Source organism: Homo sapiens, chromosome 12, assembly GCF_000001405.40.
Source record: "Homo sapiens chromosome 12, GRCh38.p14 Primary Assembly".
NCBI classification, from domain to species: domain Eukaryota; kingdom Metazoa; phylum Chordata; class Mammalia; order Primates; family Hominidae; genus Homo; species Homo sapiens.
In genome coordinates this window covers 104,713,522-104,734,300 of record NC_000012.12, presented here as the reverse complement: position 1 = coordinate 104,734,300, position 20,779 = coordinate 104,713,522, and the positions used below count along the sequence as shown (strand labels likewise).

The window sequence follows — 20,779 nt, the reverse complement described above, 5'->3', positions numbered from 1 at the left end:
TTTGGGGCTGAATTTTCCTCAAGCAGCTCTGTACCTCCAACTATTTCAAGATAGTTGGATTTAAAATTTTTAAATAAGAAAAATAAACAGAAAAGCACGTCCACTTCTGCAGAGAAGCATGGGCTGGGCCTGAGCAAACACCTCCCTGTGCCCCTCTGGCGCCAGTGCTGACCAGGTACCTCTCAATAAGCAGCTCTGCTGGCGGAAGCTGGCCCTCCTGGCAGGGGAAGCCCTGCTGCCTTCTTTGGAGGAGCAGTGCCCAGCCAAAAGCTACAGAGATTGCTGGTGGTGGCGGGGAGGAGGCATAAGCCCACATTCCTGGGCAGCCCCCACAGGCACACACTTTTGCCAGGGCTGGGCCATGGGGGCATGGCAGCCATCATGGCATCATCAGAAGGCTCAAAGCGCCCCCCGCTGGCTTTTCAAAGAAACCAGACCCATCACCCAACTCCTCCTACCTTACAACGTCAAAAGCAGGGTTCCCCTCCTCAGAGGCAGTATAGATAAGATCAGTGCAGCCAACCAATCTCCCTGGGTTGAATCTGGTTCTGCCACCTACTTAATGATGTGTGATCTTAGGCAAGTTACTTCACCTCTCTGTGCCTTAACTTCCTTATCTATAAGGTAGGGATAGTATTAGGTTGGCGCAAAAGTAATTGCAGTTTTACCATTACTTTTGATGACAAGAACTACAATTACTTTTGCACCCACCTAATGGAAGTACCAACCTCACAGAATATGCAAAGCATTCAGAAGACTGCCTGAAACACAGTGTGTGTCAAAGTGTTGGCTGCGACTCCCAACAACTGATCCTGGTTCAAGGGTTCCATCATGCAGCCCTGGGAGGGAGGGTTGAACACGGGGGAACTTGCTGGGTTTAAAGGTGCCCCCAGAATCAGGCAAGGCCCTTTCCTGATACCCACAGTCAGTGTTACTGCCTCCCACAAAGGCCTTATAAATGTCCCCTTTCCTCTTTCTTCCATGCCATGGGGAAATCTTGGATCTACTCTGAGGTCTTTTCCCTGTGGGATCTGGAAAGCTAGACTCCAGATTTTGCATCTAGCAAAAACAGTCTGGCCTCATGCCCTCCACAGCTACATTCAAGATATGTCTTATCTACATCATCTTCCAGTTAAAGAACCCGGTGGCAGAACAGCATTGTGGGAAGAGGACACACCCTGGAGACAAGGTGCATGGGTGGAATCCCAGTGCGTGACCTTGCACACATCACCTCACTGGTCTGGGCCTCAGTTTCCCCATCTCTCATAGGGCTGGTCATACCTACTACACAAGGGTGTGGAGCAAAGATTAAGTGAGACGATGCATGTCAAGTTCAAAGCACAGGGCTGACGCCCTCTTTGTGAACTACATGTAAGGAAATAAGTGCTTAAAAAAAATACTTAATACTTAGTTCCAGAAAGAAAGCTTCCAATTCCGATGTCACTGCAAAATCAGTCCCCATTTGTTTTGCCATCTGGTCTCATCAGTGATTAGGAAGCTGGGGAGGAGGATGCCAAAAAGAATCTGGAGACTGGGGGTATCAATAGATGATGTGAGCACCTGGGTGTGGCAAATGCCCCGGTGACAGCAACACCAATCGGATACCTGACTGAGCTCAGGTTTGGATATGGACACTTGGACAGGAGGGACATTTGGTGGCTAAGCCCCAAAAGGTGTTTTATTACCTAGTGCTGTGCATGACAGGCACTCCCGCCTGTTACTTCACCCTTAGACCCTTAGAGGGTGGGTTGGGGAAGGGAGAAGAGACGTGAGGAGACTCAGAGATAGGGCAAGAAGGTCTATTTCTAATGTGATGAAAGGTGAATTTTTAAAAAGTAAGTAAAATCCATTGATTTAGTTTTCAGGCCATCTATAAATGTCCCTGGGGTCAAAACTTACGAAAACCAGCCACTGAGTCTAGCTTTTCTGCCAGGACCCTGTCAAAGGCTGGGGAGGCCCTTAGGGAAATAGGGATCACTGCTTTCATCTTTCTGAGGCACCCACGTCTTTGGGAGAAGCCTTGCTGGGGTCTGGCTTATGGCACATAGGCGAACAGAAGGACAGGCTCCTGGCACAGCCAGGTCCATGCCAGCAAAGCTCACGAACCCCAGGGGGCCCAGCCACCACAGGGCATGGCCATAACCTGCCACCTCCTGCTTCTGAGCCACTGATGCTGAGGTGTACCCAAATAAAACTGACCACCAGCAGCGCAATCCTCTTCCCTGGAGGGACCGAGCATAGCTGTGGAGCTGGTTGCAGTTTCTCCTGCCCTAGGACAGAGGGGAGGATGTTGGGGTGGACTTTCTGCCATCACTGCTGATTCCCCCAAAATGCCACCAAAGGCCAATCTGCTGGGCTGCCAGCCCCTGGGGCAGGCTCATCTGTCTCATTCACAGCTCTATTCCCAATGCCCAGTACGTTGGGGATTAAACAGTATTTAGTAAACAAATGCACCTTGAAGGAGGCCGCAGTTGCGTTGGTGCAAAACTACATTTTGGAATCATGACACGGATGGACATTATGCCAGGGAAGGAAGGGAACTAAAAATAGGAAACCTTTACTTGGTGCTGGAAACTGGACACATTATACCCCGAATCCTTTCAACCCTGAGAGGTGGACATGCTCAGCTCCAATTTACAGATGGAAACGCTGAGGCCCGCAGAGGCTGAGTCCGTGGTCCCGAGTCTCAGGGGTGCGGGGGTTTACACCCAGTTTGCTTACTCTCCTATTACAAAATGTGGCCTTAGAGCCACAGCCCTCGAGCCCATTTTCAGAACAGGGATACCAGGTTCTCCCCTCTTCTCCTTCTGATCCCCCCAAAATAAAACCGGGAGAAGCCTTTCAGGTCTGTTTTCATACTTCCAGCCCAAGCAGGACTTACTCTCTTAGGTCTCAGCAGCATAGACAGCCACCTCGCTGCACAGGCTGGAGGAGGATGACATCTCTTTGGTGTACTTCTTTCGGCTTTGGTTTGCTTACGGATTGAACTGCCTGTTTAGTTTGCTGGTGGGAGTGTCCCTGTTCGGGCTGCCCTTGTTTTCCAGGGCGGGGGCAGCCGTGTCTGGGTGATAGATACATTCACCCTCCATGCCTCTAAGCCATGTCGTGTACAGTAAGTTAGCCCTCCGATGAGGGTTCTGGTCAATTTGGGTTCTCTGGCTTGGAAGGATGCAGGAGACAGCCAATGTCAAGGCACACAGATAAACAAGATGAAATGGAGCTGGCAGCCAGGACTGGCCTGAGGAAGACAGCTCGTAAGTGGAGCACGGACAGCAAATGTTCAGGATGCAGGACAGCTGCAGCAGTCCAGGGCAGAAGGTAAGATGGGCATCCTCTCCCTGGCTTTGACATTGAGGCAGCTGCAGTTAACTACCTCACAGCTGGGACCAGGGAGCTGTGGGGAACAGACTTTTCTGGCAGCTGCAACCCAGGAGCCTTGTAGAGCCCTTCTGGGAAACTGCTGCACCTTCCGTCCACTCCAAGTTGGCCTTGGATTCAACCTGGCCACTCCTAGAGATGAACAGTGTGGACGAGCAGAAGCCACTCCTCTCCCCATTTCTTCCCAAAGCAGAGGATAAAGGAGTGAGGATGTTATATCCTGGACTGGGACTTTTCATATGCCATTCCCTCCACCTGGAATGTCCTCTCGCCTTCCCATTCTGTCCTTTCAAGATCCAACCAAGTGTCTCCTCCTCTGGGCCCGTCGCTGGGCCAGCCACGCCACACTTTGTGCCACCTGCATCCGAGACACACCATTTCATCATACTGTGTCACAGGAGGCTATTTCATACCCATCCGGGCCCATCATGAGCTCTTGGTGCCTCTAGCCCCTCCCTCACACCTAGCATGGCAGGAGTTCAGTAAACAGTTGCCAGGTGAACACCTGTATCAGTGGCTAACATTTATTGTGCCCTTGCTAAATGTCAGGCCCTGCATCAAAGGTTTTGTGTGGATTATCTCAGGGACAATCCTTATGACAACCCTCTGTGGCAAGAGTCACTCTTCTCCCATGTCATACAAGAGGCCGTGTGAACAGAGAGGTTAATTAACTGCTCTCAGGTCACACAGTAAATGAGTGGCAGAGGCAGGATGCCAACCCAGGTCGGGTAGTTCCTCCAGAACGAGTGAAGGAATGGTGGAGGAAGCAGCAGGGAGCTTTCAGAGTCGACTGGAAGCAAACCAGTGAGTACAAGGCCCTAGACGGAGGCCCCAGTACTGTCTCTGTTTTCAGTGTAGCTCCGCTGTCAGCTGACACCAGCCAGTCTGACAGGTCAGAGGATGAGGGTGACTACCTGCCCAGCCAGTGTAATGCTACTTAGAGCCCCAAGTCCTGGGACAGGTGAGATCAGGAAACAGAAAGTGCAAAACCACCCCGACACCAACCAGCAGCCAGACACGCACGGCCAGAGGAGGAGGCCTTGCCCTCCCACCTGGTGGACCTTGCTCACCAGGGGCTCCCCCATCCAGATGGCCTGTGCTGCTCCTCCTCTTCATTTTTCTAAACCCAACCTACTCTCCGCAGACCTCTGCCCCAGCGCCATCGAGCTCCCCCTCAACTCCTAGGTACACGGCACTTCACCAGGCCACCGTCTGCACACCGTACGATTCTGCACACCCACTTCTCACTTCTCCAGCAAGGTTCAAGTTGCGAGAAGACAATACGCTAGACCTTACGCTGCTTCTGTCACTCATGGCACCTATGACAGCCATCCTTCCATGTTCCTGCCCTGATACTGTCTGTCTGAAATGCCTGGATCTCAAAGTCAGAGGGCAGGGGCTTGTTAAAATGCAGATTCCTGGGCCCTGCTCCCAGAAACCCAATCTGGGCACAGGAATCTGCATTCTTCACAAATCATTTGGGTGAACTGTCTGCAGAGAAACACTGCTTGAATCCTCAGTACTTAATGACTGGCTCACAATCATCCTCTACACAATTTGCCAAGTCCCCTGTCTTCTCACTTGAGCATCAGGACAACTGATAAGATGGTCAGGACAGGAAGCACGATTTCACAGGGGAGGAAGCTGTAGGTCACAGAGAGGCTTGCTCAAGGGGACAGAGTATGTGGGGCAGGAGGTCAGTCTCCCCTAGTCTGTTGGTCATTCTGGCCATGTGTCTGCTTCTGTCAGCTCATCTTGGCCTCTGTGTTTTTTCTGTCTCTTTTGTTTCCTGCTTGCTGTTATCCTTAAAACAACTGCAGAAACTAATGGTAATAATTAGAGGAAAACAATAACACGAAAATAAAATTCCCCTAAATTCCCATTAACCAGAGGTAATTATTATCCCTGTTTTGATGTTTTCCCAGCTTTTTGGGGTATGTTTTAATTGGTATTATACTGTTTTGTAAGTCACATTTTTCCATCTGACAATTAACCAGCACGACATTGCTCTAACTGGCTCTTGATTCTGGAAGAAAGATACTGGCCATCTACCTTGGAGCTTCCCCTTTCTGTCCATCTCCACACTCATGTCTGCCTTTCTCAGTGGCTTCTTTTTATCCTCTCCCCTCTGCCCTCCAAGGAGTCTAAGAGCTGGTGGGACCCAGGAGGGCAGAGGCCCAGCAGGGTAGGGTGGGAGCAAGCCTTCCCGGGTAGGGTTGGGACTTCAGGAGGATCAAGGCCCTCAGTTCAGGACTTCAAGGGTCCCCAGTGTTTTCTTGAGTCAAACCAGTGGGACAAGAGCACATCATGGCCAATGAAGTACAGGAGCTGGCACCTTCCACAGGGCACCTGTAAAACACAGTTGGGAACTCTGAAATTCATCCTAACCTCAGACAGATGGGTGGCTCCTGTCTGAAATTCCTCCTCCAACCCCTTGCTTTTTAAAGAGAACAACTCAGTTTTTGTTTTTTTTTAAGGAAGAGTTTGGAGTTGAAGATGGTCTGATCATTTCAGATGTTTCTCCATAGAACACAAAATGCTGGGTGCTAAGTGTGTGCACAGACTGTGGGCGCATCCAAATTTCTGTTTCCTTTCTTCTGAAATCCATCATGCTCCTCCGGGCTTTGCTTTACATTAGTCACAGCTATGGGGAAGTTTTAAGGTCAAGCCGGAAGAGACCTGCCAATCAGTTCCTGCTGAAGACTTCTGAATGGCGACTGATTACAATCCCTAATTGTTTCTAAAGGAACCACTTACCCAATTAAAGCCGCAGCCCATGAAAGGGAAAGAAGTGAAGACTCTCCTGATGTAGAGAATGAGAAATTGCAGCTATTATTATTATTACTATTATTGCTGACATTGTTTTTAACATCATGCTATGTCCAGAGGGCATCAACTCTTTCAACACTGGATTTTATCCCCAGACATGCCGGAAGGCACAGCTGTGCCTGGATCCACGCCTGGATCCACGTCTCTCTCCCCTGTGCCTGCCTGATTTTTAACTTGCTTGCCAGGCTTGGCTAAGATATCATTTCCTTGGAGGGACTTTCCTGAGTAGCTTAGGGTCCCTGTTCTCAGTTCTCTAACCGTCTCCTTATCCTCCCACTAGTCCATAAGCTTCCTATGCTCAAGGAGCTCGTTTGCCATTTTCATGGCTGTGTCTCCAGCACCTAGAACACTGCCTTAATAAACACCTGTTGAATGACTGAAAGGGATTGGAGAATGAAGCATTTTCTACTTGGGCTCTGAGTGTAGACTGCTGTCTATACTCGATTATAAAATCAGTTGATTAACTCATTCATTCAGTAAACATGTAGGAACACCTACCATGTGCTGGGTGGTGGACTGGTTGGTCCAGTCTTATCATCTCCACTCTACCAATACCCAAAACACTGCTCCAAGGTGTGGTGAATGTGCCTCCCCAGACCCCTGCTACCTGGGGCCTGCCCACTCCCATCAGCCTTCCTGCTGGCCCCATAGCCACAGTCTGTGCTGGGATTTGAGGAGTAAATTTCTGTTTGCATTGGTGTAACTTCAGCACCTGAGCAGATGGCCAACTTCCCTGGCCTTGCTGTATATTCTTGGCTAGATTAACACATTTATTGCTCCTCCAAGGGCTGAATAGGATGAGCTGGGAGCAAGGTTTGGCCCTGAAGGATCTTGAATGTAGGCCCCTGAGGGGTGCAACACAAAATTTAACCAATCAAGACCTTAGGGACTTCCAGGAATTGGCAAATTACATTATTAGAACCATTCCCTTCTAGAAGGTTCTAATAATGTAATTTGCCATTGCCATGAGTGCACCATCATTTGGGGTGGGGGTGGATGGCCAAATAAATGTCTGTTTCCTTTTGGATCCCTAGAGACCCACTTATCCACAATTACACTGGTGAACTAAGGCAGCTTGGTGGACCAGACAAAAATGCCAGGTGGGCATAATCATCCTTTGTCATGATAGTGACCAGTCCCAGGCATGTCCCTAATAGCCTCCTTACTCTATCCACCAATATTTATCTGCCCTACATCCTACCTTTCAGGGCCCTGAATTCTGTAAGATAGATGAGATTGTTCAGATATATCAGATCTTGCTATGGGTTCCTTAGGCAGTGTAATCTAATCACATATACAACCACATCTAAGCCCAGTTAAAATGTGTATGTCGGGGATATTTTTGAGGAATTACACTCTAATGTCTCAGCCCTACAGCAGGTTTTGATGCCGCTCAAATCCTGGCACACCCTTTCCCAGCCCATTACACCTATAGACCAGCCTGGCCCTTTCCAGAAAACCCCATCCTGAAGCAGGGTTGTTGAGCTTCTCTGTCTTGGGGGAGAGGAGGGGAGGAAGATGCATGTTGCCTCCTCTGTCCACCTCCCAGTGGTCCATGATCACTGGGATTTCCCTGCTTGTTCTGTGGAAAGAGTCTATTTTTAGTTTGCGGTACCAGGTACCAATTCCAGGCCTCTGGTTTACACCACAGCCTTTTAATTACAAGCCCCTTAGTTTTTCATTTTAATTCAGCTGCTTTGTTTTTCTCTTTGAATATGCTCAACGGCAGATCCAGTGTCTGCTTCAAGCGTGGACTCTGCACCAGGGGATGTACAAATATGGACTTCACTGGCCTACAAGACCACCCAATTTTGACAAGGTCTGTCAGAAAATGAAAAGGACAAAAATTACCATTGAACTTTGAAGCTAGGCCTAAAGCAAAGAATTAAAGAGTCTCTGATTACATATTTCACTAAGGATTCTAGATGAGACACTTAGAACTCCTTATGAAATATGCAATATTTCTTTCTGCTATCTCTCTGTTGTCTTCTCTGACCTCTGTCAACAGAGGCTTGGCTCAGGCCTATTCACCATAGGCCTTGTTCTTGCCAATCCTGCTTCATTGGCTCAAGAGATGGACACAAAGGGATTGATGATGTCAAGACTGAAGAGCTCCGTGTGGTCTGGCCACATCTTGATTAATCAAGATGGCAGAGGCAAAGCAGCTGAAAAGATCATCCATACACTGCTCCTACTGGCCCTTGGGAGCCATGGTGACTGCCCTACCTTGTCCTGCTTGAGTCTGGTGAGTGATGAACCTGCCCACGGACCATCCGTCCTGTGTGGGTTGACCTGGGGCTGTGAGACCCACTGCCCACTCTCCAAGAAAACCAATCCCTGGTGTGTAAAGGGTGATAAGAATTGGCCTATAGGAAGTCCAGGGTTGAAAGCTAGGCTCCAGCACACAAGACCTATGTGCCCCTGAGTTAGGGGCTTAGAACTTTTCTGAGTCCTGAGACTTATTTAAGTGGAGAAGTGACACCCACTTCCCACGATTGCAAGTATTAGGTGAGAAAACAACCACGGCGGGGAGGAGACACAGGGGAGGCAGGCTCAGAATTAAAAAAAAAAAAAAAAATTAACAGCTTTATTGAGGTATCATGTACACTTTTGAATTTGAAAGGAACCTGAGAACTGTGTAATTGAATTTAGAGCTGGGAAAACTGAGACCCAGAGAGGTGAACTGACTCACTCGAGGTCATGAACCCATACGACCAGGCTGGGCTGAAGAACCAGGTCTTCACTGCTGTTTTCTTGTTTCGGCACCACGGCCTCAGGCTCATCTAGAAAATGGTCATCTTTAATTCATAAAGGAAGGCAAAGAAACAGAAACAACCTGAAGTGTTGACACGAACACAACGCTTGCTATGCTAACGACAGCACAGCTACTGTCATTTCATCCTCTGCCATTGCATGAGGAGGGAACCATTATTATCCACATGTGCAGATAAGGAAATTGAGAGTCAGAAAGCTGGGAACGTGCTCAAAGATAAGTGGCTACAAAATGGGGGCGCTGGGCTTAGAAGAGTCCATACCAGAACTGGGGCTCGCAAGGCTGACACTCTACCACCCACTTCCAGCCCTAAAGCACCAAGACACACTGGGGAGAATTCCACTCCTGGGTTGCCTCTCACACAGGCTTGTCAGATTTAGCAAAGAAAATACAGAACACTAGTTAAATGGGAGTTGCAGATCATTTTAGTATGAGTATGTCCCTATATCACATGGGATATACATATACTATAAAATTATTCATTGTCTATCTGAAATTCAATATTAACTGGGTGTTCTTGTATTTAACAGTCCATCTTACTCTAACGTGTGTATTATTTGACCACAGCCGATCTCAAATGCTCTGTAAGGCAACTGCGGCAGCTCCACCGGTGGAGGGAAAGACTAAGGGAGTCCTCCAGCAACTGTTCTGGGCAAGGAGCGGCCCAGAAAGCCCACGGTGAGCCTCAGAGGTGCAGAGGGGAGGCCTGAGGACAAGTTTCTTTGCCTCCCGGGACCCTGGCTGCTGCTCCTAACCCTGTGTGAACAAATGCTTCCACATGGCAAGAGCTCCCTAGGTAGCGACATGGGCAGAAAACCACCCAGAAGTCTCCCCTTTAAAAAAAAATGGTGGTGAAATATACACAACACAAAATGTACCATCTTCTCCTTCCAGTTCAGTGGCATTCAGCACATTGCCATGGCTGTGCAACCATCACCAACCCCCGATCTCCAGAACCTTTTCATTTTCCCTATGGATTCTCTGTACCCATCAAACATGAACTCCCCATTCCCCTCCCCCAAGCCCCTGGTAGCCATCCTCCTGAGGCATCCTGACTACTCCGGGTGCCGTCAGATACATGGTAAAGTATTTGTCCTTCTGTGTCTGGCTTCTTTCAGTTAACATAATGCCCTTCTCACCACTTGAAGGCCACTATTTTCTCTGTTTAGGACTACTTCAGTAGCCCTTTAACTATTCACCACACTACTGCTCTTTTCCCTATAATCTATTTTCAACAGAGCAGCTAAAGTGATTATTTTAAAATGTCAGATCATATCACACTCTCCCTATAAACCTCTAATAGCTCTCCTTCAACTCAAATTTACATAATTGCCTGTAATGCCTTATATGTTCAATTATATACATATACACTTACCACCATGTCTGTGAAATGTCTTTCTCCTACTTCCCCAGTATGAACCCTCAAGGCTCATCCACATAGCTTGTGTCAAAATTTCATTCCTTTCTAAACACTGAACAGAATTCGTTTTATATAGGAACTGTTTTTCTCTGAGAAGAGGTCAGAAAACACCCAGTCCAATCGCTCGGTCTTCTGGGCACTAAAGTGATACGACAGAGCCCCTTTCCAGGGAGGGCCACTTAGGGTCACAGTAATTAGGGGTACCTGGCCAGGGTGAGCAAGGCAGCCCCTCACCCCAGAGTCTAATTTGGGCACCACCTCTTGGCTAACCCAACTCTTACCACCTCCCAGGGGCATGTCTCTCTATGCCAAAGACCCTATAAAGAAGCCAGAGGCAGATATATGGGGCACTCCATGGAGGTTTCATTCTCGCTCTAACAATAAAACTAAAACAGGGAGTGATTTATCGGAGTGAGTGTCGGGAAAGGGGAGCGCAAATTCTCACTTCACTGCAGGCCACAGATTGAACAAGCCTTCAGGGTTAGGGGTGGTGCAGGCAGAGGCCTGGGGCAGACCCACGGCCCCCCAGACGCCCACCCCGCCCGCCAGGCTGTCCTGACTATGTTGTGTGTGTACTTGCTGTGTGATCCCGGGCAAGTCGGCAGCCTCTCTGTTTTCTCATCAGCGATTTTAAGACAGGAATGAGTTAAAACAAAGGGCTCACAGCTGTATTAGGGATATCGTGAGTATTAAATACAGTCCTTGAGGGGCCCAGCTGCCGTTGTTGTCATTGTTGTTAATACTGCTGACTGCTATCATGACTCCCAGGGGAGGTGATACTACGCTCACACCACAGATCAAAAAACTGAGCCACAGGGCCTCAGTCCTGAGGCAGGACTCAGCCAGGCATGTCAGGCTCCTGTCTGGGGTAAGTGGGTCTGACAGGGCACGCCAGCACCACCCCCCTGAGAACTGAGGGACAAAGGCCAAGAAAGTCATTAGCCTTCCCCTAGACACAGAGCAGCCTTCCCGTAGGACACGTGGGTTTGTCTGTGCAGGTTTGAAATCCTTAGGAAGTGACACTTATGAGCGTTCTGGAAAGGTGTGATCCCCATCTCAGCCTCACAAAGGTCTTGGCTCACTTTGATGATGTTTCACTGCCAGGGCCTTTGAGAAAGTCTCCCCTCACCTCCCCCCAGGTATCAGCAGGAAACAGAAAGATGACCTGCAGGGGGATGGGGCCTTGTTTTCTTTGGACACTCTTTCCAGCAACGACTCCAGACAGCAAGGCTGGAAGAGAGAACCAGATCACAGGAAGGAACAGGTGCCAGGCTACGTCCACCATAGCCCGTCCTCTTCCACAAGCAGAAACGATGACGTGTTAGAAATAAAACTCATCCTCACCATTTTTGAACGTCTGCAAAGGCACAATTCATCCACTTTACAGAGGCACTTACACTGTGTTTCAGAAAACCAATCTACCTCATCTAAGTACTGCAGTTCAGTCAATATACAAAATATACTAAAAACCACGGTTAGGGCAGTGCTGAGTTTGGGCATCACACTTAGTTTGTGCTTCCCAGTAGCCAAGGTATAAAGAGAAATATGATGGATTATGAAAACTTTTACCTCTGATGAAGTTAAAAACACACCAAATTGGCCAGGCACAGTGGCTCGCATCTGTAATTCCAGCACTTTGGGAGGCTAAGGCGGGCAGATGGCTTAGCCCAGGAATTCAAGACCAGCCCAGGCAACAATGGTAAAATCTCATACACACACACACACACACACACACACACACACACTTAGCTGAGTGTGGTAGTATGCGCCAGTAGTCCCAGCTACTCCAGGGACTGAGGGGAGCGGATGGTTTGAGCCTGGGAGGTCCAGGCTGCAGTGAGCTATGACTGCATCACTGCACGCCAGCTTGGGTGACAGAGCAAGACCCTGTCTCAAAAAAACCCCCCAAAACCAAACAGGCAAACAACAACAAACCCACAGAGAATTTAGAGGTGGGACGTGGATCTGAGTTTAAACTCCATCACTTGCAGACAGTGCAACCTCAGGCAATACCTTAACTTCTTATTTCCTTGTTTATTAGTCTCAGTAATATCTCAGAATATTGGGGGAATCGCCTGAGCCATGTATGTGGCAGTGCTTTGAAAATTATACAATATCTTCCAGAAATCTGACTTATCATGGAGTATTTATAGTGGTTCTTTCAGTGAAACGATCTATTTTTTTTTCTATGCTGGTTGTGTTCTCTTTGAGGTGGCTCTGAAAACGTTTGTTCACGTAACTCCTTATACCAGGGACGCTGTACAATAGGAAGGACAGTAGTCACACCCCATTTTGAGCACTCATTCTCTATCAGGCGCAGGGGTACACTTGCCTGAGTTTGAATGAGTTGAGCACACTGTCTAACCCATGGCACCTTCACAGACATTCCGGGATAGAAATACCATTAGCATTCCTATTTTGCAGAAGAGGAAGCTGAGGCACAGAGATACATGAACCGATCTGACTCTCTTTCCCATAAAGGTGGCACAGACGGTCAGAGACAGTGAGCCAGTGGGGCCCTGGACCCATGTGGGATTAAAGGCTCTATGCTGAAGGCACCATTCTGAGGTAGCTCTGGTGTGTGTGTGGCTGTGTGTGTCTGTATCTGTGTGGGAGAGAAAGAGAGACACAGAGATAAGCCCCACCAGAGACTTAAGGGCTCAGAGAGCACCAGGGACCCACAGCCCTACTCCTTAAATCTGTGATGCCTGATGAGATGGGGATGGGGATGGGGCCAGGCCCAAACCCAGCTTCTGGCTTTAGGGTTTGCTCTTGCATTAAATTCCCCTTGGTTTCAGCACCACAGGGTGGGTTTCAGTCTTTTGTAAGCAAACATTTCTCAGGGAAGTCATGAGTCTTCCTTTAGAAAAACCAAGGAAGCCAGCTTAGCCGAGGACCAGCCCCGGCCCTGGAGCAAACGCTGCGGGGCACATGAGATGGTTTCTCCGCCCTTCCTACATCCACGACCTCTCAACCTTGCTCCTCTGAGCCCCAGAATTCCAGGCTCACTAGGAGAGGTGAACGGCGTCTATAAGACGTGCTGTCATTTTAAAAGTCCCAAAGCAGCAGCGACTGGTCCACGGTAGACGACATTTCCTGTTTTTGTGAACTTGTTTTGTTTTTTTTTCAAATTAGATTTCTACTCACTGATCCTCTCCATTTTTTTTTTCCCCTTTTTAAAATCAAACAGCAGATCAAAAGAAAAGCAACAGAAAGCTCGTGGTGTTCCTCTGCCTCAAAGGCCAAACGTCTGTGGGTTTTTTGTCTTGGCTGCCGACCGCAGCACGTCACACTGTTTGAAATTTGCAGCTGCGATCATTTATCTTCAGGGGACAGGGGTGGTAGGTGGCCGTGGTCCTGGGGAGACCCCGGGAGACCCTCCCAGCGCATGACATGAGTGTAGCTGCCGTCCAGCCCTAGGTCCTGTCTTCCTGGATGAGGAAATACCGTGCGGGGTCTGGAAGGGGAGGCTGCACGCAGCCCTCAGGGAGAGACACAGCACCAAACGCCTTGGACGCCATGAGTCCCAGCCCTGCCTCTCACGATCGTGAGGCTGTGGGGAGCAACTCGGCCTTCCTCAATTCCAGTTTCTTCATCTGTAAAAAGGGAAAATCCTGGTACCCACTGCATAAGATTGAGGATAAAATTAGACTCTGCAGGTAAAATGCTTGGCACACAGTAGACTCTCAAGACATGGCAGCTGATGCCAGAGTCGGGGAGCTGTCCTGCCTGCAGGGCAGTGTTTCAGGAGGAAGCGTGCTTCTTGGGGCTCCGGATGCCGCCAGCAATGTTTACGAAACTAGACAAGTCCACTTATTCAATTTACAAAAAGCAACATGTTTACAAGCCCCTCCATAGCTTTGGATCTAAAGGCGGAAAAGTGCCTGGACACCAGCGTTAGTCTGGAGAGAGGGAATTCTTCTCAGGAGCCACGGAGCAGGGACCCATTCCTAAACCATTCCCGCTTTTCCTCCAGGAAATGGGTGCAAGACAAGGAAAGCCATGGCCTGGATTGTTACGTAGAAGCAGCTGGGACACAGTGTTCCCTGGGGCATCTGGGGACAGTGGTGCCTGTAACTGTCCCCTGGCCATGGGGTGCAGCCCCCGCCACCCCTCCCTGAGTGCCCAGGGCCAGTCCATCCTCCATGCCACAGCCAGGGCCGGCTGGCCATGCCCCAACTCCTCATTCTGAAGAACACTGAAAATAAAGAGGGGTCCCAGCTAAGAGGGGGTGTTTATAACTTGAAAAATGCTGATAACGCCAGCCAGTCATTTGCCCTGAAGTAGGTAATAGCTAGAGCAGCATTTCTTAGAATTAAAAAAAGACTATGAATAGATAGTTATGCTGTGTCTGCAGTCAGGGCCCTCCAATTAATGGCAGGAAGCCTATGTTTCTGTCGGACTGCAGCCTGAGCCCTGTGTGCGTGCACCTGTGCACGAGAGAGACAGAGTGAAGTGGGCAAGGGGAGCGTGGGTGGATGGTGTGTTGACTTCCAGAACTTCGGATCTCAGGTGGTCACCTAGAAATCCAATTGATGGGAAAGAACATGATTTCCTACTTGTAAGCCAACATGGCATTTCTTTATGCAAGCCCCTTATCTAGAAAGAGATGCTGGTGTCACTACAAAGGGACATGGGGACTCCAGAACTCAACCCTGGCCCACTGAGCATGTATTCAAGCTGGGGAGGCAAGAGCTGTCAGCCTAGAAGACAGTACGTTGCGGAGTGTCTGCTTCCGGGCGTCACCATTCTGGAACCATAGCCACCAAGGCAGAGTCCTGGGGGCCGCGCCTGCAGCCCAGCCCTCACCCAGCAAGAGAGGGAAGGATGAGGAGGCTGGGTTTACTGTGCCCCATTCTGTACCCTCAACCTAAGTGGCCGTTGATCCTCCAAAGGAGAAATGCATTGGGGTTCCATGCACCCTGGAAAGTCGGAGAACCTTCCCCGACAGAAGCTCCTTTCCTGCAATTTACTGTTCAAGCCTTCAGTAACTTCTGCCTTGCTCCTCAAGAACCTCCCTTGTCTTGTTTAATTTAGACCTGGGCAGTAATGAGGACTGTGTCGACTCCACTCTCGTCCACCGGAATGAAATTTTTCATTAAGGAGTTCCTGGGAGACTGGCCAAGTTTACTCTCGCAAGCATTGCATCTGCCTGCTTGCTGCAGTCTTCAGGCTGGCTGGCTAAATGACAGTCCTGGGTGGCAGGGAGGAGACGCCCCCAATTTCAGTTCTAAAGTAGGAGTGATTGCTTACCTCTATGGGGGGCCTGGGGAACTACAAACAATCGCCACTCCTCAAAGGGACTGCAGGTGGCAGGGAGTGTTTTGAAAATATTCATTTTCTAGAAATTCATTCTTCATTAGTAACACACGGAAGGCAGTGTGATGTGGAGAAAGAGCCCAGGCAGCTCACTGAACAGCTGAGTGACACTGGGCTGGCCACACAATCCTTGTCAGCCTCAGTCTCCGTATCTAAGCAGTAGGGATTCAAACGAAATTCCGTCCTCACCTGGTGGTTGTGCAGCTGCAATGGAACAATGTGCGTGAATGGTAGAGAAGTAGGAGGTCAAGCCAGGAAAGAGAGAAGATTCTGGAGTCCAACTCCCTGGGTTCAAATCCCACTTCTGCCACTGACAGACTGTGTGGCTTCAGGCAAGTCACAAAACCCCTCTGTACCACAGCTGTCTCATCTGTCAAATGGGGCTGACAACTGAAACTACTTCAAGGGACTGTCATGAGAATTTAGTGAGGGAATGGGCATCTCATGCTTGGCAAAGTACCTTTCGCATAGTAAGTGCTCAATAAAGATGGGCCCAGGAGTGGGGCCGCTGCTGAATGCAACCAACGCTGGCACGTGGGAGGGGCTCCATGAACAAGTCCTGATTCTGCATCTGGGCTACTGCCCTATTGTCTTTTACTTTTATTTATTAATTTAATTAATTAATTTATTTTGAGACAGAGTCTTGCTCTGTCGCCCAGGCTGGAGTGCAGTGGCACAATCTTGGCTCACTGCAACCTATGCCTCCTGGGTTCAAGCGATTCTCCTGCCTCAGCCTCCCAAGTAGCTGGGATTACAGGCGCCCACCACCTTGCCCAGCGAATTTGTTGCTGTTGTTGTTGTTGTTTGTTTTGAGGCAGAGTCTCACTCTGTCACCCAGGCTGGAGTGCAGTGGCGTGATATCGGCTCACTGCAACCTCCGCCTCCCAAGTTCAAGTGATTCTCCTGCCTCAGACTCGAGAGTAGCTGGGACTACAGGCGCCTACCACCACACCATCTAATTTTTGTATTTTTAGTAAAGACGGGGTTTCACTATATTTGCTAGGCTGGTCTCGAACTCCTGACCTCATGATCCCCCTGCCTCGGCCTCCCAAAGTGCTGGGATTACAGGTGTGAGCCACAGCGCCCAGCCTATTGGCCTTTATTGAGGCTTGTCTTGCTGGCACTTATGACCATCCCCGGAAAATGACTAAAAAAATCCCTGAAGCCTGGAGCCATGCAATTCAGAAAGAGATACCATGAAGACCTACTGAAGGAAGCGCTGGTCTAAGTCCTTTCCCTCTCAAAATGGTTTTGGGGCAGCTAAATGGAGAATTCCTTCATTCACTTTCCCATCTTCCTGACTAACTGAAAATCCCTGTGGTTGGAAGAATAACCTCCCGCTCTTCCTGCATCCAAGATGTCCACATCCTAACCTGCAGAAGCTGTGAATACGTTATGTTACATGGCAAGGGGGAATCAAGGTAGCAGATGGAATTAAGGCTACTAATCATCTGACCACAAAATAAAAAGATTAGCCTGGATTATGTGGGTGGGTCCTGTGTAATCTGTAATCACAAGGGTCCCTTAAACGTGGAAGAGGGAGGCAGGGGATTCAGTGATAAGATGCAAGAAGGACTTGACTGGCCATTGCCGGCTCTGAGGATGGAAGCATGTCATGAGCCAAGGAATGAAGGTGGCCCCCGAAGCAATAATCCCCTTGATTTGATTTTAGCCAGTGAGATCCACATCAGATTTCTGAGCCCCAGAACCATAAGATATAAATGTGTATTGTTTGAAACCATTAAGTTTGCAGTAATTTGTTACAGCAGCAATAGGAAACTAAGATAGTACCAGATGATTCCTTCGTCTTCGAATCTAAGGTAAATTCTGGGCCTGTGAAGCCCTCCGTGGATGAGCAGCATTCACAGACCCTGCCCCTGCCTCCCCCAGGCACGTTGGGAGCGATCACGTATGTGTTTGCTCATGCATCCTTCATGTATTCAGCAAATATTTCCTGAGAACTTTCCTTGGGACACAGCAATGAAGAAGACAGGCCATCCCCTGCCCTCATGGCACTCACAGCCAAAAGTGGACACTAATTTACGACAGGTATGGATGCGAGACGATCATAGAAACACTCTTCTGTACTTACTACGTGCATGGCAATGTGCCATATATTAATTCGTTTACTTCTCACAATACTCATGAGGAAAGGAACATTATCATCCCCATTTCACAGATGAGGAAACTGAGGCATAGAGTGTTTGCATGAGGTGCTCATGGTCACACAGCTGGGTGGGGGTAGACTCAGATTTGGAACCCAGGCAGTGCTTCCATCACTATACTATGCTGCATCTGAAATGACAAGGGATGGGGGCCATCCCAGAGAAGAAGGACGGTGTGACTCTGGCCTCTAAGGTTTCTCTCTACCCTAAAGGAAGGGAGTCCCCATTTAAAGCAGATGTCTGCGACATTGGCTCTGGGGCTGATATTCAAAGGGCTAAATATGACAGAGCCCTTGGCACCCCGTGTGCAGACACAGCACCACCAGATCCACCCAAGCTAGGGGCTTGAGCTATACCTTTCTCTGGGCTTGGCACAGACCCCAGGCCTGGGCTGGAGCTGAGCCAAGCCGAGCCTGCTGACAGTCAACAGGCCTTTACTGACTGTTCATTCTCTGCAGCACACGGCTGTCCATTAAACGCGGATCTAATACTGCTATAGGTCAGGTTAGCTCATCGAGAATGCACAGGGTGATGCTCTCTCAACGAGAGAAAGGCGCGACACACACGAGCTCATTTATTCCAACAACAGCCTGCAGCCCCAGAACCCTTTCATCCCTGAGCGATATCCCCCAGGGGTGGGGACAGCAAGGTGGCAAGGCTTCCTGTCAGGGGGAGGGGAGTCACAGGAGCCTAAGCCGGGAGGGGCTGGTGCATGTGGGGGCCCTCCTGGGAGTTAGGGCAGCAGCATCCTTTGGCAGCCAGGCAAACCCTGGCCTGGGTCCATTTCCTCTACCTGTACCTCTCTAGCTGGGTGACCTACAACATGCTCCTCTGGATGTCCAAACTTGCACATCTATAAAGTGAGGACTTATAATAGTACCTCCGTATCGCTGGGAGGATTGAGACAATATAAAGTGTTTAGCTTGGCAGCCGGCACTTAATAATCACATGATTATGTCATGCAGGGTCTTATTTAATCCCTTCCAGTGGCTCTGAGAGAAGTAACCGTTACTGTCTTCATTTTTATTTTTTATTGTGTTTTTGAGACAGAGTCTCACTCTGTCACCCAGGCTGGAGTGCCGTGGCATGATCTCGGCTCACTGCAGCCTCCACCTTCTGGGCTCAAGCGATTCTCCTGCCTCGGCCTCCCAAGTAGCTGGGATTACAGGCGCCGACCACCACATCCAGCTAATTTTTTTCTTTTTTGTATTTTTAGTAGAGATGGGGTTACACCATGTTGGCCAGGCTGGTCTCGAACTCCTGACCTCAAGTGATCCGCCTGCCTTGGCCTCCCAAAGTGCTGGGATTACAGGCGTGAGCCACCATGCCCGGCCTGTCTTTATTTTATAGATGTGGAAACTAAGGCTGGCACAGGAGCCAGAACTTGCCCATGGACTTCTGGCAAGTCAAGGGTTCGCATCCAGGTCACGAGTGGGCTCTTCCCACAGCTCTGCCTCGAGGTCAGCTACCCCAGCTTGCTTCGGGTCTGGATCGGAACATTAGGTCTTGAGTTCTAGCCCATGGTCTTTGAAACTGAGTACTCTAGGATACTGTTATCATTCTCATTTTACAGATGAGGAAACTGAGGCACAAAAAGTATGAGTGACCAGCCCAAAGTCACAGAGCTGGGTGGTGGACCCAGATTTGGAACCCAGGTAGTCTTTTTATCTCTACCCCACGCTGCACCTAAAATAAATCCTACACTACGCTGGGCTGTGCTGTGCTCATCACCACGAAGCTCACTGTGAAGAAAGGCCTCCCATGTGGTGCCAGGGTGAACGTCAAGCAGCCGCTGTGTCTGGCTGAGCTCATTATTGTCCTTGTCATCATCACCGTCACCATCATCATCATCATCATCATCATCACCACCTCCACAAAAGCAAACCCAAATTCCTCACATTTATCAGGCAATTTTATATTTTAAAGCCCTTTCCCATCCATCAGGCTTCTGACCTTTGCCCCAGCCCTGACAGATCACCACTATGGTGGGAAAAACAAGCTCAGTTTGCAGACAGTGAAACTGACCAAGGTCCCATGGTCCTCTACTAGCAGGTAAGGCTTTGCACTCCACTTCACAATCTCCCAGGCTGGGCACTTTCTCCCCAGTGCCTCAATCTGCTGCATCCTTTGGCATTTGTGGGAGAGGAAGCAGGAAGCACTCCCCAGCCAAAGGGAGGGGGCCTCAGTGATAGGGACTTGAACAAGTTTGTTTACAGGGATGGGGCTCCCCTTAGTGGGACTCTCCCAGTGCGCCTTCTTCACATGCTCTGACCTTTGAGATACATATATAAACATCCATGTGCTTGTACAACCCACCATACTGGACATGTAATGGTCACATTGCAATGCTCTGAGCTATGCTTAGGTGGGAGGCAGGGGGTAGCCTTACTACCCAGGAGGCATCTTTAGAGCACATGACAGGTGGCAGGGAGGCTGCTCAAGCTGCTTCCAGGTTGGAGAACCCAAGGAGAACCCACTGCCAGAATGAAAATAAAGGGGCAGCTATGGGTGGGTTGGCAAAAATGCAACGAACGTATCTCTCTACACCCTAGCCTCGCCTGCTGCTCCAACTCTTCAGGCAGCCTCTGCTCATCCATAGGAGCTGGCCTGGGGAGAAAACCGGTTAGGAAGCCCTGGCTGCAATGAGAGAGCCTGAACTGCAGCATCATGGGGTAATGAGGATAAATGGCCTCAAATCAGGAAACACATAGCCCGGTGTGGACCTGGCCTCAGGAGTCAGCCAAGTCGGCAAACAGAAGAGTGGCCCAGCACGGCATCCTTCACCAGCAGGACTCCTTTGGGAGGAGGTGCAGAGCCAGGTATCGGCTCCTGTTACCTACCCTTTAGCTGCCATTCGAAACTCACGCAGAGTAAGCTGTTCAGATCTTTTATCTT

General features: G+C 49.4%; 1 protein-coding gene across 4 annotated transcripts in view, besides 5 other annotated features; it reads right to left on the bottom strand.

Annotated features, from left to right (window-relative positions):
* CHST11 (carbohydrate sulfotransferase 11) overlaps positions 1 to 20,779 on the bottom strand; it is a 305,067-nt gene that overhangs the window by 27,714 nt on the left and 256,574 nt on the right. The window lies entirely within an intron of this gene.
* Positions 10,584 to 11,202: an enhancer, noted in NCBI's record as "H3K27ac-H3K4me1 hESC enhancer chr12:105116877-105117495 (GRCh37/hg19 assembly coordinates)". NCBI's record gives its function as "activates a minimal SCP1, AML or CMV promoter by ChIP-STARR-seq in primed H9 embryonic stem cells {active_cell/tissue: H9 hESC(primed)}" and the evidence as "EXISTENCE:reporter gene assay evidence [ECO:0000049][PMID:30033119]".
* Positions 13,144 to 13,193: an enhancer, noted in NCBI's record as "active region_6933". NCBI's record gives its function as "activates an Ori minimal core promoter by ATAC-STARR-seq in GM12878 lymphoblastoid cells {active_cell/tissue: GM12878}" and the evidence as "EXISTENCE:reporter gene assay evidence [ECO:0000049][PMID:35858748]".
* Positions 13,144 to 13,795: a biological region, named in NCBI's record as "H3K4me1 hESC enhancer GRCh37_chr12:105114284-105114912".
* Positions 13,167 to 13,795: an enhancer, noted in NCBI's record as "H3K4me1 hESC enhancer chr12:105114284-105114912 (GRCh37/hg19 assembly coordinates)". NCBI's record gives its function as "activates a minimal SCP1, AML or CMV promoter by ChIP-STARR-seq in primed H9 embryonic stem cells {active_cell/tissue: H9 hESC(primed)}" and the evidence as "EXISTENCE:reporter gene assay evidence [ECO:0000049][PMID:30033119]".
* Positions 13,854 to 13,943: an enhancer, noted in NCBI's record as "active region_6932". NCBI's record gives its function as "activates an Ori minimal core promoter by ATAC-STARR-seq in GM12878 lymphoblastoid cells {active_cell/tissue: GM12878}" and the evidence as "EXISTENCE:reporter gene assay evidence [ECO:0000049][PMID:35858748]".